Below are 18,782 nucleotides of genomic sequence, written 5' to 3'. Positions count from 1 at the left end.
AACAACAGGTGCTGGAGAGGATGTGGAGAAATAGGAACACTTTTACACTGTTGGTGGGACTGTAAACTAGTTCAACCATTGAGGAAGTCAGTGTGGCGATTCCTCAGGGATCTAGAACTAGAAATACCATTTGACCCAGCCATCCCATTACTGGGTATATACCCAAAGGACTATAAATCATGCTGCTATAAAGACACATGCACACGTATGTTTATTGTGGCACTATTCACAATAGCAAAGACTTGGAACCAACCCAAATGTCCAATAATGATAGACTGGATTAAGAAAATGTGGCACATATACACCATGGAATACTACGCAGCCATAAAAAATGATGAGTTCATGTCCTTTGTAGGGACATGGATGAAATTGGAAATCCTCATTCTCAGTAAACTATCGCAAGAACAAAAAACCAAACACTGCATATTCTCACTCATAGGTGGGAATTGAACAATGAGAACACATGGACACAGGAAGGGGAACATCACACTCTGGGGACTGTTGTGGGGTGGGGGGAGGGGGGAGGGATAGCACTGGGAGATATACCTAATGCTAGATGACGAGTTAGTGGGTGCAGCACACCAGCATGGCACATGTATACATATGTAACTAACCTGCACATTGTGCACATGTACCCTAAAACTTAAAGTATAATAATAATAAATAAATAAATAAATAAAAAGAAAAAGAAAAAGAAAAAAGAAAAATGGTGTGTGCTAGAGATACAAATGTGGGAGTCATCAGTATAGTTGAAGTCATAAGAGTGTAAATTCCAGAAGTAGAGAAATGAAGAAATGGTTCTTGGGGGCCAGGGAAGAGTTTTGGGATGACATTTCTTGGGAAAAGTGTGTAGACTTGTAAAACAAAAGGGACAGGAAGAGTCCTGAGTACTTCAATATTTAAAGGCCAGATAAAGGAAAAAAAACTAGAAAAAGAGACTGGGAAGTAACCACATAATTAGGAGGGAAAACAGGAAAATGTAGCTTAATTGAAGCCAGGAAAGGAAAGAACTTAAAGGAGGGAAGGGTCAATTATGTTGAAAGCTGCTGATAGATCTAGTAAAAATTTTAACAATGCATGTTTAATTTCCATGCACACATTCTAAATTGATATAATTAGCAAACAAGGTGATATTGCAGAGTGCAGAGAACATGGTGTTTGAGACAAACCTGGTTTTAAATCCTAGGACTTCTTTTCACTTGTTAGTTTCATTGCCTTATGCAAGTAACTTTCCAAAGCCCCTGTTTCCACATCCATTGTCAATAGTGATAAAATTTCTATATCATAAAGTTGTCATGAGGATTAAATGTTAATTTTATGCCTGAAACATAGTAGGAACTCAATAATTGTTATCTCTTATATTCATATGGTAGTTGTTTCCAAATGTATTCTTCTAGAAGTATTTTTTACAGTAAAGAGACCCAGTGAACTTGCCTTTCTTATATAATTGGCATTCTTGCTAGCATAACTGTATGGTTTCTCTAATCATGATAGGTATCACTTTAGAGGAAAGATTCTGCTGGTGTTTTGCTTTTCTCCAGTTTATACTTTCTGCCAGAGAGAGATATCACACATTTCCAATTTCAACCAACACTTCCTATGAAGATGGTACTCAAATCTTCATCTCTCTGGAGTCTAGGCTGCATTGGGAATGAAATGAAGCCATATATGGGAGAATGAACAGTCTCCACTGGAGAGTACTGAAGGGGAAGCATTGTAATCCCAGTTAATTCCAAAAATGGAGAAATGAAAGAAGTAGAGTTTCCAGGGGCAAGAGAAGAGTTTTGGGAAGGAACAGACTGGAGCAGTACATACAGCAATGTCTGTCTGGCACATAAGAGACATTTGATCAATATTTGCTGACTTTAAGAAAGACCATTCCAATTTAAACTCCCACATATTAACTTATTTATTCAACAGTAACATATAATATAATCAGGTAGTAAGAATTCCTATGAAGGAAAATGAACCAAAACAGGAGGATAAAATGATGAGCAATGCTGATTTAGGGTATTCAGGGAAAGCCTCCTTGAGGAAGTGACATTTGAGTGAACTCCTGAATTAAGTGAGAGAGCTGGCCATGTAAATAGCAGGGGAAGAGTATGTAGGGCCTTATAGTCATAACTAGATGAGTCTGGTTCTAAGTTAATTGGAAGATCACTGGAAGATTTTATGCAGAAGAATGACAAGATCTGGCTGGCCTTCATCTTCAGAACAATCATCGCAGTTTCTCTGTTGGGATTAGACTTTGGGATTAGTGGAATCAGAGAGCTGCTGCAATTATCGAGGGAGGAGATAATGGTAGATCAGAACAGGTAGTAGCAGTAATGATACTGAGAAATAGTCAAATTCTGGATCTATTTTGAGGGTAGAGCCAACAGGATTTCTTGACCGATTGACATGAGAAAAAGATAGAAGTGAAGGATACCTCCAAATGGTCAGCTTGAGTCTCTGAAGAATAGAATCATCATTTACTGAGGTGAGGGAAAACTCAATGACATAGAAATCAAGATTTATCTGTTAAACATGTTGTTTTATATTATTATTAAGCTCGTAGGTAGAGATTTTAAGTGAGCATTCTGGAATTCAGGGGAGAGATTGGGCTAGAGCTATAAATTTTGGAGTTGTGAGTACATAAATGGTGTTTAAATCAAGGATACTAGATGAGATCACCACAAGAGTGAGTGTAGATGGAGAAGAGGACTAAGAACTGAAACTTCAGGCACACTAATATTTACAGTTCAGGAAAATGAGGAAGAACTATCAAAGGGCTTGGAGAGGGAGCGATCAATGAGGTGAGAGGAGAATCAGCAGAGTGTGGTGTGCTGTAAGCCAAATAAAGAATATATTTCAATATGGACCGCCTTTTTGTTCAGGCCATGCTGCAGTAACTACATGTAGGTGTAGCTTGATGCTACCTCATTCAGCTTTATCTCATACTATTGCTTCCTGCTGTGGGGCTTCTCTGCCACCACCATGTGGATCACCTGAAGGACCCTGCTCAGTGAGTCCAAATCATGTGCCAACTTGCAAGTGCCAGTGAGTAAACACCCTCTAGGATTACACTTAATTAATGGGAGATGAGATTTGATAGAAAAACACTCTCCTCTTCTATGTCTGATGGAAAATTCTGGGGCGCATTCTACATGGCTCCTTAGAGAGTCCTCAGTGGGAATAATCTTCAGTGGAAATAATCCTCAGTTGCCTATAGTAGTAAACAGATCAATAACATGCCCTTGGACTGATGTTCCTTCCTTTCCTGGCTCACCTTTCTCAGTCCCTTCTCCTGTTTTCTGAATCACTTCCCTCAAATAAACTAACTGCATGCGGCTCATTGTCTCAGGTGGGGGTAGCTGTTAATGTAGACGGCACGATGGACTGGTACAAATGCTAGTGATAAACTGAATAAGATGACTGAGAATTGACCATTGGATTTAGCAAAGGTAGGATCATTGGTGACATTGAAAAGAGCTATTTTGGTGAGCATTGGTTTAAAAGCTTGGCTAGAGTGAGTTCAAAAGAAAGGCTATTTTCCAGTGATATATTGCAAGGTCATAGGATGGGAGTGAGGCATGGAGAGGTGGGGTATTGAGGTGTGATGAGAGAGAAGTGTGAAGCAGTCCTTTTAAAGAGTTGATTTGAAAATAAACTGAAGAGAGAAATAAATAATACCCGGTGGTACTAAGGGCACGCTTGAATGTACCGTTTTGTGTTTTTCTCCAATCACATTCAGCTGTTTAGATGAAAATGTGGAACAAGTGATTATACTTAAGGTTCAGATTTTGTCAGGCAAGTATGCTAGAGGGAGAGAGGGAATGTAATCTGGGTAACAAGGGAGGTTCAGAGTTTGGGGGTATGATGGATAATAAACAATTGGGGATTAAACATCATATTAAAAATTATATACAAGTCATGTCAAGATACGCTCTCAGAGTGTAAGGAGGCACTATTAATAAATATTTTAGAAACAGGTATTAGCTGAGACAGTCCTGGGCAAATCGGGATGCATTATAATCCTATTAATGTAGCCATTTTTGTACTGAAAAGAAGATTGCAGTAGTTAAGAGCACAAAATCTTTAGAGTCATGGTTCCTGGGTTCAAAACTAGGCACAGAAAAGCTAACTTGCTAAAGGTGGAGCTACAATCCTTTAGATGAAACCCATCAAGCATGGCTCCCTGCATTGCACACTCTCTTGTATATTATCTATATCTTCTGATTCTAAATTCAGTGCTGCTTTTGGACTTCAGGTATGCTCTAGCCTCTTATGCAGTAATTACTGTTTATTCTCCTTCTTGGCTCCAGTCTCCATCCTGTTTATCTGAAGTGCTCTTGAAATAGATTTCAGTTTCTTCAACTATTAACACCTACCACAACCAAATTTGACCCTTCCTTCAGAACTACAGATTGAGTCTGATTTTTCATTCTGTTCACCTGCACTTTATGCAGCTCATACCTACGCTCTTGTGCTAATTGTTGTGAGGCAAAGTATACGAACTTCTTCGGCGGTGTAATTACCAGCAAGGAGCTCTTTGGGTCTATATTTTCTAGGAAATCATAGGCCCCTACATGGCCTCTAAACAACCCAATTTTTCCTGAACATAGGTCATCACCTCTTAATTACCTGAAAAGAAACCCCTGCCTGAGATGAATCTGAATTATAAATATTTGTCATTATACTTTTAGGCCTCTTGATTTACAGTAATTCATTGTCTCTCTACCCTCCCCTTAAAAGGGAGGTATTTCAAGATGAAATGAGAATATATTTACCAAATAGATTTTTAAAACTTACTTGTAATGTGATATATAGAATTACCTAGTTTAATCATGGCATGTTTTACATTTTTTAGTATGGTTCAAATAAGAAGATAAAGAAGTGCTTTATTAAATACATATATTTTTGTATTTAAAAATAACTTTCAAATAAATACTTAAAAATCATTGGCAAAAATGAATGATGAATTAGGAATGTATATTATAATTTCAAAATAAGGAAGACATAAGAGGCCCATTTTATAAATGGTACAGAATTTTATTTTTAACAAATAAGTAGCCAGATGTATGACTCCTAGGGGGGTAGAAGTGGCCCTCTCTGGAAATTCATAACATCCAGGATGGATACGATGGGATTGGATATGGATATCCTGTTCTGGGGCGCTGGAGTTCAAGAAATGTGTTTCTTGTGGTTACAGATTATTCTGGGAGTACTAGATCCTCAAATAATCTATTTCCTCAGATGCTCCAAGTCAGAAAGCCCCTTTCCTCCATTCTGGCTTCTACAAAAGAAGCTCCTCCTAGTGGGCAACCCTCCCCCTTGGCTTTCCATGGGTAATGCCTTTCAGAAGACACGTCCTTTTTTGACCTTCTCCCTTCAACCAGGACCAGCCTTGGGAATGAGATCTACGAGTTCCATTGAAACCCTGGGCTAGTTCAGTACTAAGGCCATGTTGTGGTTGACTGAGTATAAGAAATCCAGATATCCCACTGCTTTTATATTCCTCTTGATCCCTATTCCAGCAAGGGCAAGAGAAAAATGTATGACCTTTTTCCTCAACTGCTAATTTTGATTGTCACTGAGGCCAACCTCAGATTAAAGGCACATACGACCTACACAAGTGTTCAATCTTGTTACATGCTATCAGGTAGACACAATACCTAAAAGATTGACTAAAATAAAAACAACTTTTATTATGTTGTTTTAGAGACTTAGCCCCACATATATGTTATACATTAATTCCCTTGCATTTGTATAGAACCTTGTACATTAAGAAAAATGCTTCTGCTTTAATGATTCTCATACACTCTCTAGGCTTTATTATCGTCATTTTACAGATGAGAAAAGCAAAGGCTCAGAGGGGGAATAGGGTAGAGATAGAAGCAGTGTAGTATAAAGACAAGAATTCTGGCCTAGGAGTCAGCAGACCTGGATTCTTATCCTGACTTGGTCACTAACTCACGGTGTGGTTATGAGTAAGTCACTTTCCCTCTCTTAGCCTCACTATCTGCATTTATGGAATAAAGTGATTCAATTTTCTCAAATCTGTTTGCATATTATAATCATCTGGGAACTTTAAAAATCCATTCCTCAACACCTCCAAAGATTCTGACTTAATTGGTCTCAGGGTACTGTGATTTCTACAACACCACTTTGACTCAGAAAAAACCAATCCAGGGAAACCACAAATCCAGTCTGGTATTTCTCTCTGAAGGAGAGAAACCTTGTCATTTGATATAAGATCTAAGTACTATGGAGCATGTCCTAGAAGGGAGTTTGAAAGGCAGATAGTGTTAGTGGCATATTCTAACTTTGAACCTCTAGGAGAGAGGCCAAGTCTCCACCCATCTCTCTCTCTCTCTCTATCTTTCTCTCTCTTTCTTTCTTCTGCTGTCTCCCTTTCTCCTCCCCCGACCCCCCACCCCATAGAATCATTCCAGATGGAGAGCTATAGGAGTTTGGAAAAGAAGAGTGTTGATATAAGTCAAGGACAAAATAGAGTTAAAGGGTACAACTGAACCAAGTAGTTAGTAAATGGTGTTTTAGGTGAGAGAAACACACTGATTATAGAGCTTTTTTTCTTTCACATACATCATTTTCTTAACCTTTGTTTTTCTTTCTGGATCCACATTTACTATTACTTCCCATTACTTTTTTCTTTCTTTCTTTCAATATGGTTTATATATTAAGAAAGGCCTGGGGCCTTCTCCTCTTTGGGAGGTCTTCACCTCCATTAAGAAAAAAATTCACGAGTAAAGTTGTTTAAGCCAACTAATCTCTAGAGTAAAAATGAGTATTCCCCAAACTAATTCTGTTAAGCCTTGGTGTGTGAATCCCCATCCAAGGACACATGATTTTCTATCCAAGACTATAAAGCTGAATATCAGAGTCTTTTGGAAACTTCATATAAATACTTTTCTATATAAAGAAATGCATATATGAATAACTAAATAATTGGTAGATATTAAAAAAAATGACTGTCCCTTTCCTTGCAGTTTCTTTGTAGTGTTTCTTTTTGTTATCAGAGTGGTAAGACTTTGAAGATGAGGATTAAAGTACTCTAGGCCTTAGGACACAGGTTCAAAATGACTCTTCAGGGTTCACATATGGTCAACCCCATCTTGTTACAAGAGAACATACCTGTGGCTTGCCTACATTACCACTTCTGTGTTCAGCAGTTTAGTTAGTTCTTCAAGGACCTGGGAGCTTCCAGAGCCTTGACATCTCTGTCTTTTACCATCAGAGGGATGACTATTACCTGGTATGGTCAAAAGGATTGCCAGGTTAGTTTGGGAATGACAATGTGTGGGTTAGAATTACCTTCTTCTTTTTCAGGAGATTGGCCAACAAATACATATGGGAGCAAACATATATAACTTGGATTGTAATGACAGCAAGATTCCTAACATTAGTCAGTGTCATTCCCAAAATGCCTTTCCTTATCTTGTCCATCCTGGCCTTTAACAGCAGCAACACTGGTAGTGTCATGATCTTATCTTTGAGAGTGAAAATAAGGATATGGGCCTAAACTAGGATAAAGGGACCAAGAATTTCAGTCCTACAAAATCTTATCAAACCTTCGGCCAAAGGTCCAAATGGGGCACTAATGCTTTTGCTTTATGTGACAATGATCTATAGGACACAGGGAACTATTGTATATGTGAATAAAAGGTAGCATAATTCTTATAATGTGTCTGTGTCATAATTAGTGGCTGAAATATTTTTTAAAAAGCCAGCCAACCAACTCATTGCTTTATTTTCATGTTACAGAATACCTTGTTTAGCCATTTTTTCCCCAGCATTTATTGACTTAACCAGTTTTCCTGCTATTATGCTCATGGAACCTAAAAGAACATATGTGCCTTCACATACATATTTTGACTTACACATGCTTTTTGAGGAGTTCAATAATATGAAATTCCTTTTTATATTAAGAAGAAAGATATTTTGAGAGTTTGTTACTCCTTTAATTGAACAGGGAATTAATTTCCATATAAAAAAGAAGCCCTTTAAAGCAAGCTAGAGAATAAATAGGTTCAGGAAGGCAAACATAGTACAGTTCTAAGAGCCACAATAAAGCTTTATTTACTTTAAAGGTGGTAGGTTATCTCTAACTTACTTCGAAGGAATGTGATTAAAGACATAAGGTAAAAGCACCACCCTAGTGTAGCACTTTAAATTTAATCTCCCTATATTCATATACTTGCCTTACTGTTTATAGTGGAGCCACAATCCTTCCCATTATTGCTGAAGCATGAAATGCCAAGGTACATATTTAAGTGCCCATCACGCACTACCCAAAAATGTAGAAGGGTAAATATCACATGGGGAAGAATTTGACTAATGAGATGAGAGCTAGCAGATGAATTCACCTCCTTTCCTCCACCACGTGGGCTGTATGGAGATGTAGTAGTTTTATATGGTCTGTCACAAAAAATTGCGAAATTAGCTTGCCAAGGAACAGACTGTGGCCAACTCAGTGACATGCTTTTTATTTGTTCTTCTTTCTTCCCTCCCTCATTAACCCTTTCCTTACTCATACTACCCTGGATCGTACATAGCTTTTGCTTCAAACTCTATTTTTTAAGAAACTGAGGCTAAGATACCTGGAAATTAGGAACTCTGGTATAAAGTCATAATTCCACTCAATTTTCAGAACTGTGTGACTTTGGACAGGTTATTTTCCCTCTCTGTGCATCCCTTTCTCCAGCTATAAAATGTTGACATTGGACTAGATGTTCTTTAAGGGTCCTTTGGCCAAGTTAAAGGATTCAGTGTGAAGGAGCTGTTGGTAAAATGTGTTATACGGACCAGTGGTCATCAGTGGTTTGCTTACATTTGAATCAGAAGAGCGCTCTCAATATAATCAATAAGGTTGAATGTTAACAGCTCTAACAAATCTTAAGCTCCAAAAATAGTCTCAGTTATACTTTGTTCAAAAAAAAATTGAATTAGTTTTCCCTGGCCAATAAAGATAAGGCTAATAAACGCTTACCCTCTTTGGCACAAGTGAAAATACTCCCTTAATAGCTCTACATCATAAGCTAAGAAATGGTAACTGGCTGCAAGCATGTTTTCAAAGGGAATAGTGGAAAAGTTTGTAATGTCACCATTTTGGGAGCAAGACAGCTAATATATGATGCCTGTAACTATTGCTTTACTCTTAACATAGCAAGATACTTATTTTAACTCCTAGGTTGCAGGTGGACCAGAGTTAGGGAAAGAATTATTCACCATTTGAGGCTTGTTACTCCAGAATGGTTTACACTGTGCTCCAGCCTTCTATATCTGACTCTGGAGCATGGACCTGGGAGTCAGACACCCTGGGTTCAAATCTTAGCTCTACCATTTACAATTGTTACCTTTTGGCAAGTCACTTAACTTCTCTGTGCTTCAGTTTTCTCATCTGTAAAATAGAGGTTGGAATGATACCTATGTTGTAGAATTGTGAGGAATGAATGAGCTAATATAAATAACATGCTAAAAATAGTGCTTAGCATATAGTAAGCACTATGTAAGTATTCACTATATTTATTATTGCTATTGTGATTAGGGAAGATGGGCTGGAACCACAGGAAAACTCTTGGCTGATATCATATGAAATGTATCAAGGAACCAATATGTGGAAGGCAGTAGAGTTAGGGGCTAACAGATGATTTAACTGCAAAAAAATGCTAAGCAGGAAACACCCTCTAAATATTCCTGTTTATACAGGACATGACACAAAGTAGAAAAATAATGAAAACAGAGCCTCCCTGCAGGATTTAGAGTTCTTTCGTATATATTTTAAATATACATGTGCAATACATTAAAATATATAGAGATGTGTGAATATATATAATCACAGAAGGGATACATACGCACACTCACTCACACGTCCATGCGCATATCCCAACAGGACCCATCTATACGTAAAGCAGATGCAGTCCATATCAGGCCAACTTGGACACAAGTGAAAGCCCTGACTCAACAGCAGATTGCAGATTGCAACTGTATTTGAGTAACCCTTCAATTTCTTCTACCAAGTGTAAGGCCATTTAGAAACACACTGAGAAAGGCTCCTCTGGGTATATGGCAGAACCCAGGGCCCCTCTGGCAGTGCACAATTTGCCTGAGTTAGGACTGCAAGATTGGGATATCAAGGAGCTATCAAGGAGGAGGGGCTCGTGTTATTTTGGGGCCTGAAACTAATAAGCAAACATCCATAGAATAATTTAGCTCCAGGAACAATGCACTAGTGTCAGAGAATCCTTAGATAACTGAGCTCTAAGCACATTTCAGGCAGAAGCAGAGAAGTGTGTGTTGCTACTCATCACCATCCAGCTTGACCCAGAGAACTGGGCAGAGCTTTTCAGGGTAGATAAGTGTAAAGTACAATCAAGCAGACTTGTAAGATTAAAAAGTTACTTAAAATTGAAGGATCTGAAAGCAACATAAGAGGTTACAGGTATTGGTTTGGGTTTATAAATGTTCCAAGAAGCCTAACCTTATATATGGCACCATTTGCAGCAATATCATTAACATTATTAATAATCATCATAACATATTTATATATACAAAAATAGAGCAAAGCAATTCTAGAAGAGGAGGTGTAAGTGAAGGTGTGGGGCTCTGTGCAGCCCAAATGTCAGTACACTTCAGGAAGATTCAGAACCAACAAAAAGTGAGTGGCACATATTTCTGTAATATGTATCCAACAAAGGGACATGGAGGTCCCCTCTTCCCCCCGTGTACTACTATACACTTCTCCCCACTTCTCCACCCTGCAACACACATCCATGCACACTCTAGAAGAGATGATCTATAAAGTTAGAGTCTGGAGGTCTTAAACTAAGTTGGAGCACCTTGATTTCAAGCAAGTGCCCTCAATCTCTGAATTCGTCAGTGAATTTTGGATTCACTTATAGAGGGAAACTGTATAATTCTTGTGTCTTTTAGCAGCAGTCTTTAGGAGCCTGCCATCACCACTGCAGCTTTTTCCCATTGAAGGGGGTTCACAGCACAGGCTCTCTGTACTTTTTAAGAGAGAAGTCAGTTCTCTACATTATACATCTTTCATCTCAGTTTTTCACTGTTGCTGAAATTTAAGTTCTCAGGCAGCTGCCATTGCAGACAAAGCCAGGAGCAAGCACAGTGTGTGCAGCAAAGAGTAGATGCAATGGCGAAGATACAGCTTGGTTAGGGCTTCTTTAAGCTTTTCTTTTCCACACTTGAGCTTCTACAAGGTGACAGAGCCAAAGGTGATGTCCACTGGGGGCAGCCTCAACACCTGATAGTTAATTAGCTACCCACCATGCACTGGAGAAAGACCACCACACTAACTAGGCATGGTTCCTGAAAAGTAATTGAATGGGAATGGCTTTCTGTCACTGTTAATAGAGCCCTAGGAAAAAGTCCCATGACTCAATGTGGTACAGGGGTAAGAATACTGAACTAGGAGTCAGAAGGCCTATATTCCAGTCTCAATTCTGCTGTTAACTCAGTGTGCGGCCTTGGGGGCAAGTCCCTTCCTACCTCCAGGCCTCAGTTTTCCCATCTGTAAAATAAGGGCATTGAACTAGATTAATAGTTAAGATTCCTTCCAGCTCTAACGTTTTATGACTTTTTATGTCCATTATTAACGCCTGAGCCATGCAGTCTCAGGGAAGTTAGCTTCTAAGAGAGAACATACCTCTGTATCCTTTGCTTTGTTCATTTAGCTATAAAGCACGTCTGCCTTTGGCACTTGGGTCAGACATACAAAGTTATGAGCATCCTGATTTACTATCCTACTCAGCATGCTAGTGGAATCTGTCAGCACTATAAGTTGATTATTGAGAAAGGGAGAAAAACTCCAACTAGTTAAACCTGGAAATATAAGATAACTTCGCCTCATGCGCTCACGAACAGGTGAGAGTGGTTGTGAGCACACACACACATCGGGATACACACTATTGCTAGTGATCAGTTCATTACAGTAATCCATTTCCCTTAATAAAAATTAGTAAATAGTATAGCATAGCAAAGTTTGGCATCTAAGGAAACATCTATGGAAAAACAGCACTTTTGGACATGTTAGAGAAAAAGGGACAGGTAGAGAGAGACAAATATAGATCAAATGAGATAGAAATACAGGCAGAGAAAGGATCAGTCTGAAAAAGAAGGAGGGGAGAAGGAGAAAGGGAGGAAGAAAGAGAAAAAGTAAAAGCAGACAGGGTGAGAATGAAGGGGAAAGGAATACAGAACAGAATAATGAAAGAGGAGAGAGGAATAAAGAAGAGAAGGGCAGTAACAGGGAGAAGGGGTCGTATTCCCTGGAAGGTTGAACGCTGTTCCACATGTACCTGTGAAAACCATCTTAGAAGAAAGCTTCCAAAGGCACAGCAGAAAACAGAGTGACGATCAGAGCCTGCATCGAGAGGTATTACATTGGGGAGCCCCTAAACCTCCACGTTGCTGGCCCTGTCAGTCCTCAGTGTTCAAACCTCATACCCATATATCACCTGAATTTGCCATGACAACCATAAAGGCTGAGCTGGCAGGGTGTAAAGACTGAAGAGGAGTGGGATAGATACTGTGAGAAAGAACAAGGCATCCTGCACCAGGATGTACTTGGTCATTCCCCTGACACTGCAGGAACAAAAGAGAGGCCCTAACTTTGGCTAGTTTATCACTCCTCCCCCTCTCCAAAGATGAGGCCTATGCTTTGCTGTTGGGGACTCGAAGGAGAAAAGCTCTGGATCCACCTTGTTGGAAGGTCATACAGACTTTTCCTGGGCCTTGGGGAAGGGTGCACTACCAGAAGAGATCTTTCTGCACACAGTGTTGGTGTGCCTCTTGCAGCGGCAGCCTGGTCGCCGGAGGCTATCATAGCCCTGTTGGCACAGATGGAGGCATCCACGGGTAGGCAGGTAGCAGCACAGGCAGGGTAGGAAGAGGGAGATGAGGCTCATGGCTGCCCAGCGGACAAAGCAAGAACTAGGCCCACAAGAGCAGGGCTCATCAGCACAGTTGTCTTCATCATCAGTGGAGCAGTGGTAGAAGAGGCCCTTGACACAGCAGAGACAAGTGCCATAATCGAGGAGGCTCTCAGCAGAGCAAAGGCAGCGCTGGTTGCACAGCCAGCAGGAGGGGAGAGGGCGAGCTGCTGTGCAGGGGACGCACTTGCAGCGCCCACATTCCTCACAGATGAAGAGGTGCTCACTAGGGTGCCCTGCAGATTGCTCAGCTTCTCCCTTCAGAGCACCATCAGCCTTTGGGTGGACCCCTGCTCCAGGTTGGGTTCGGATGATGGATTGGCCTGAAGGTGAGGGTGTAATGCTGGCCAAGAGCCTTTGATCAGAGGCAGTGGTGCTATGGGACATTGAGCTGGCAATGCTAGATTGGCTCAGATGCTGAGGCAAGGGCTGCAGTTGATGGCACTGGCTGAGACTGCGGGGGAGAGAAGTAGGCATGGTAGCCAGAGACCAATCAGACTTGTGGGTTTGCACAATAAGGGAAGGGCTGGAGAGGGCCTGTTTACAGGGGGCTGGAGGCCGTTCCACGTAGTCATTGCTAGCATGAGTAGAGCGCAGCTGTTCAATAGGCAGAATTTGTTGAAAATCATCTGTCACCGCAGCATCCATTTTGCCTTGATTTTTTAGCTCTGAGTGGTTTTAAGTCAGGGTGGCACTTATGGTGATAAAGAGGAGCCCTTGTAGTTACATGGATTTCAGGGCACATGAGAAAATCCTAGGAGAGAAGGCATAAAAACAGTAAATGAGAACACACAGGCATAAGTACTTTGCAAGAAACCAACAAAGCTCAGGCCCTATCACCACCACTACCTTCAATTACTTTACAGTAATCTTCATGCTACACCTTTATTCTGTAATTAACCTCACTTACTTCTTTATAGGCAAATCTCATCATCCCCTCCAGACTATAAAGAAGTTTGGGAACAAATATCAGATAGTTGATTCTTTTTGTATTCCATCAAATGCCTAGTTTCACAGGAGCAGCTAGCTCATTCAGGTATTTGCTAGCAGAGACATCCAAGCCTTGGGCATCAGAATTCTAATACAAATGGAACCTAATATTAACTGCAAAGGCTATTTTCTGAAGCAATGCTGAAGGAAAAGAGAAAGCCTCAAAAGTCTCCCATGAGAAGTTGCTCATATATATATATATATATATATATATATATATATCCAATCAAAATTATCTTTTCAGTGTGAATTTGTGATAAGCAGAAATAAACAGATAAGAAAGGACATTACTTGATTCAGTGAATACAGGCAAGCAAGGAGAATGCAATAAAGGCAGAGATACAGCAAACACACAGAAGGTAGGAATTAAGCTGTCTGCAGTGTAGTAGGAAAAAAAAAGGCTTCCCAAGAGTATAAGGAAACCAAGACTAATCATCTTGCAGTTCTCTTCACCTTACTGGCTGCTTTAACTTACTAAGGAAGTGATTCTTTTTAAATGGAATGGAGGCTCCAGAATCAAACTTTTGTACACGTGGGAGTAATACTGGGGATCAAGGAACTATAGAAGACAAGTCCTGAATTATTTCAAAAATCATCTGTAATTATACCTATTACTATCCTAAGTCACCTCCATATTGATGAGACTTACCAAGCAGAATCTGCTTGGACTTCTTTTCTCTATCACTACCTTACACAATAAACTGACTTTCTTAAAGGAAAGTGATATTCTTATACCATATTTAAGCTAAGTTGAATGTCTAGAAAGCATATGCTTGCATTTCCATTGTACTACAGTCAGGAAGAGGTGGTTGGTCATTCCCTGAAGGATTTTACCAAGCCTAGAACTGATAATGATGACCATGGGGAAAATACTGTACAAATAGCAGACTGCTGTATTGCACCACCTAGAAGACTGAAGAGTCAAAAAGGTGTACATGAAGAAACCTAAACACAAATCCAGGAAACATCCTGGAGGCATTAGGACGTAGCAAAACACTAGCATGAATAAAGTATATATTTGAGATCCATCAGATTTCAGGCCTTCTCAAAATAGATCAATTACTCACACTACTGTATGTGATGGATAGCTTGAATGAGTAATAGAAATGAACAAGTGAGAGAGGATGGTGCTTGATTACGTTTCCATAAGCAAGCAAACATGACACTGAAATGGGCCCAAAGCTCAATAACAGGAAAAACAAGGATGCAGTTCATAAAGGACTCAGTGGCTAATAATATGACCAGACTCAGTTGACTTTTGAGGCTATATCCTCATGCAAACCTGATAAGCTGAATTTACATCTGCTCATTACTTGAAAAGATTTAATTTGGTTACAAATAACCTTTTTGGCATATCACATCAAAGAACCAGTCTGACAAAAATTTCACTTTTTAACTAGTTGTTTTGGTGTTAAATAAATGCAGCATAAGAGAATGCAAATAAATATTATGGAAACTCTCAGACTCAAATATTTATGTCACTTTTGTCAAATCACTTGCTTTCTTTGGGCCTCAGTTTCACTATCTATGTGAAACTGAAGGATATGTGATGTGAACAAGGTGATCTTGAAGGACCTTGAGCCATTATGGTCTGTATTTCTTTCTATAACTACACAATTTTATAAAATATTTCTTTTCATCCGTATCTTCTACATCTTCAAGTCCTTGAGGGTAAGGTGGGCAATGTGCCCTTACTTATTGGGGCATTCAAAAGCAAAATGTATGTTTCCTTTATTTACTTGCACTCAAAGGCTCATGCAACCTGCCACCTCTACCTTTGCTGTATCTTTATAGATTCATAGTCTCAGCATTGGAAAGGAACTGGCAGCTTTCATGTAGACACCCAAATAAAAAAGGACACATTGTTCATTTGGCTTGGAGGGTATGTAGATGTAGGAACTTGGGACTGGGAGGAGTCTTTTGACAAATTTATGAGAAATAGATTTATGTCCCATTGATCGGCTAAAGAATATGTGGAGCCCTGCAAGTCCTTTGTACTGTAAGAACAATAATATACATGCTGAATGCAGTTTAGACTAATTGATTTCCCAAAGGAAACTAGATTCAAAACATATTGAAAATTCCAGGAAGCAATAATTTAAAGGAAGTTATACAAGGTCTCAAAGTTACAGGAGATAAACAGGTGAGATTCCAAAGACAGGATTCTAGGGATGTCACTAGGAACCTCAGGGACATGCCCAGAAGGTTGAAAGCTAATCTGGGAGGAATCTAGGTCATAATATAAATGACTCAGAAACAATAATGAGAATTATGTTCAAAGGGGATCCTGTCTGGGGAGCAGAAGGGTACATGGTGTTTAGGTTGAAAAGCTGTATTTCAATATTGATTCGATTTCTGCAAGACTGATAAATTGAGATGCTTGGTTGGATGATTAAAAGAAGCTGTGGGCATTATTTCAGTCTGAAATAATGATGCACTGTCTTGCCTACAAGTAAGGGAACTGACAGGATGAACTTAGAAGGTTTCTTCCTGCTCTGTAGAATCTTTTATTCAAATGGACTCTGGGATCTAATGTGGGAGACCTGCAGTAAGTGGACAGTAGGACCTGAATAAAATCAGAGTGTTGAGTAGGATTTAAGGATTGAATGACAATAAATTGTTTGCCATTCTGGACATGCTGAATCTGATCTGGCTAACAGGATGAACTGAAATAGATACTGTACAGGAAGGTAAGAGGGAAAAATATGTTGAGAAAGGAACAGGCAAGACACTGCTGTAGCACATAGGCTAGATGAAAAAGTACCACTACGTGAATGTTTATGATTCAGAAATCCACCCACTAAAGAGCCATTCATTGTGAGCAGCAACAGTTAAGAAACTGTGCAGTTGGCCAATTCCATAGTCTATCAAATGAGAGAGAGAGAGAGAGAGAGAGAGAGAATGTACACATCACATATTATTAAATAAGAGCAAAGGTGATTACAGGTCTTGGCTGCACATTGATGGGATCTAGTGATTTTTGTCACGTAGTGCCTCTGCAGTAATGAATGATGCATTGTAAACCCACTCCCATCACAGTCTCTCTGGCCAGGTGCTCATAGCTTTCTAAACAGTTTTTCTGTAGCCCTGAATTTGCCATGTTCAACCTGAAAAAAATTTCTTTTCTTATGCCAATTTAGGGACTAGAAAGCTAAGCCCATTCAAGAAATGCTAATGTTTGTTAATGAAAGAAAATGTATTTTCTCCCTGGAACCTAAAATCTGCCATGTTGAGAATAAAGTTGAAAACTTTCCTATCTAAAGCCCTTCTATGCTAACACCGCAAGACAGTTCTGATTTCTATGGTAAATCCTTTCCGATACAGTATGACTCAACGTTGATTTCAAAGAAGAGTGGAGTGAGGAAGAGGAGATCCTGGCTCTTGTTTTCTCCCAGTCTCACGGGTTCAATGCTGTTTTGTACCCTACTGTGTAACGGCTCTTAGGTGTGTTGCTTTTTTCTATGCTCTGCTGTTATATACACTCCTACTCAGAATAACTGAAAGCAAACATAGGGGGAATTTCTGCTTTGGCTTTATATGTTTTCTTAGTTCTACTGTTCCAAAGTCTGCTCTCTAAAAATCCCTCTCTGTGCAAAAAGCATTTGCATCTCTATCAAAGCACTCCCCCCTTACAAATACCAAGTTGTATATAGTTTACATTACTAACCTCTCTGCCACTGACTGGGCCTCCCTCCTACCGCATACATCTTGTTGGAGCTGCCAGGTTCTCACCACATTTAACTCTTAACTTGTCACTTTGCTACCCTAGTCCTATTCATTACTTTAATGGTTTCATTAAGACTCATAGCAGTTTATTTCAAACCAGGGAGTCTTGCAGTTTTAAGACCTTGAATGTTAAAAGATATAGGTCTTTTAGTGATGAATGATACAGGGAAAATTTGTAATACCAAATGAATTCACATCTAATCCTGAGGAAAATTGTAAGAAGAAGCTGGTTGTTCATCTAAGAAGTAGGATTTTTTTTTTAAAAACTCAAATCCTTTTATATGACACAAGAAATTTAAGGTCTAGTCCTAATGGTAGCTCTACTTTGCTGCGTGGCTGTAGGCAAATGACCTCCGTTCTGGTCCTCAGTTTCTTCATCTGCAAAATAAAAGGAGGGTTTTTAAAGGCCTTTCTTGTCCAGATGCTCTAAATTTTATGTTGGGTTTGTTGGTTGCATTTCTCTGTTTCAAAAGTCTTTAAGGAAGAATTAGTGTCCTTTCCTTTAGGTTCTTTACTTCCTCACTACTCAACTCCTCAACTCTTAATAAATATCTTCAAATCTAAGTCACTCAGATCACTATCTAGACTGTTTCACAGCTAGAGAGACCTAAAAACAGAACACAAAGAGACAAATATATAGAATGTTATAGTAATGTCTTTGTATATGTTTGTTTAGAGGCAAGGAGAGCAAGACCAATATTTCATTGTGGATAAACGGCTAGCCTGTGCCTTATTTGTATTTATGAATGCAGCCGACTTTTTGGGAACATGATTTAACACCTGGTATATCCAAATTCATGTGATAACACATCATGATACAGTGAGGTTTTAATATTACCAGAAAAGCAACAATAGTTTCCATTTCAAAATAGATTTTCTGCTTAAGAGTTCAAGGTCTGTTTTCTGTTCATCCAACTTGGTTTGCAGCATGCAGAGGTGAAGAATGATAATTATAATTAGCTTCATGGAAGTGAGTGTGCAGTAAACCATTGCCCTAGGTCTTATCAAATGCCTATTGGCTAACTAGACGTGCTCACAGGTTCTCACTTTTGACAGAATCTCCATATGCCACACAGAGACATGTGCACACGTACCCAGGCACGGATACAGAGATTT

General features: G+C 39.4%; 1 protein-coding gene across 4 annotated transcripts in view, besides 1 other annotated feature; it reads right to left on the bottom strand.

Moving 5' to 3' along the window:
* Nucleotides 1-5,010: 5,010 nt before the first annotated feature.
* The window catches only part of SPRY3 (sprouty RTK signaling antagonist 3), a gene marked incomplete at its 5' end in the record, with an annotated part of 45,557 nt that continues 31,785 nt past the window's right edge, over nucleotides 5,011-18,782 (bottom strand). For 3 of the 4 annotated variants that reach the window (NM_001394354.1, NM_001394353.1, NM_005840.4), the window contains 1 exon segment: nucleotides 5,011-13,704. In NM_001394354.1, the coding sequence (NP_001381283.1) occupies nucleotides 12,732-13,598 (867 nt within the window). In that variant the 3' untranslated portion in view covers nucleotides 5,011-12,731. 4 annotated transcript variants of the gene reach the window in all.
* Nucleotides 17,810-18,782: part of a meiotic recombination region, noted in NCBI's record as "meiotic double-strand break mapped by DNA meiotic recombinase 1 chromatin immunoprecipitation followed by single-stranded DNA enrichment and sequencing in the germ cells of some male individuals with the PRDM9 A/A, PRDM9 A/B and PRDM9 A/C genotypes", that runs on past the window's edge. NCBI's record gives the evidence for it as "EXISTENCE:chromatin immunoprecipitation-seq evidence [ECO:0000229][PMID:25395542]".

Source organism: Homo sapiens, chromosome Y, assembly GCF_000001405.40.
Source record: "Homo sapiens chromosome Y, GRCh38.p14 Primary Assembly".
NCBI classification, from domain to species: Eukaryota; Metazoa; Chordata; class Mammalia; order Primates; family Hominidae; genus Homo; species Homo sapiens.
The sequence above is the reverse complement of the archived record's forward strand: the minus strand, read 5'-3'. Positions and strand labels throughout refer to the sequence as shown.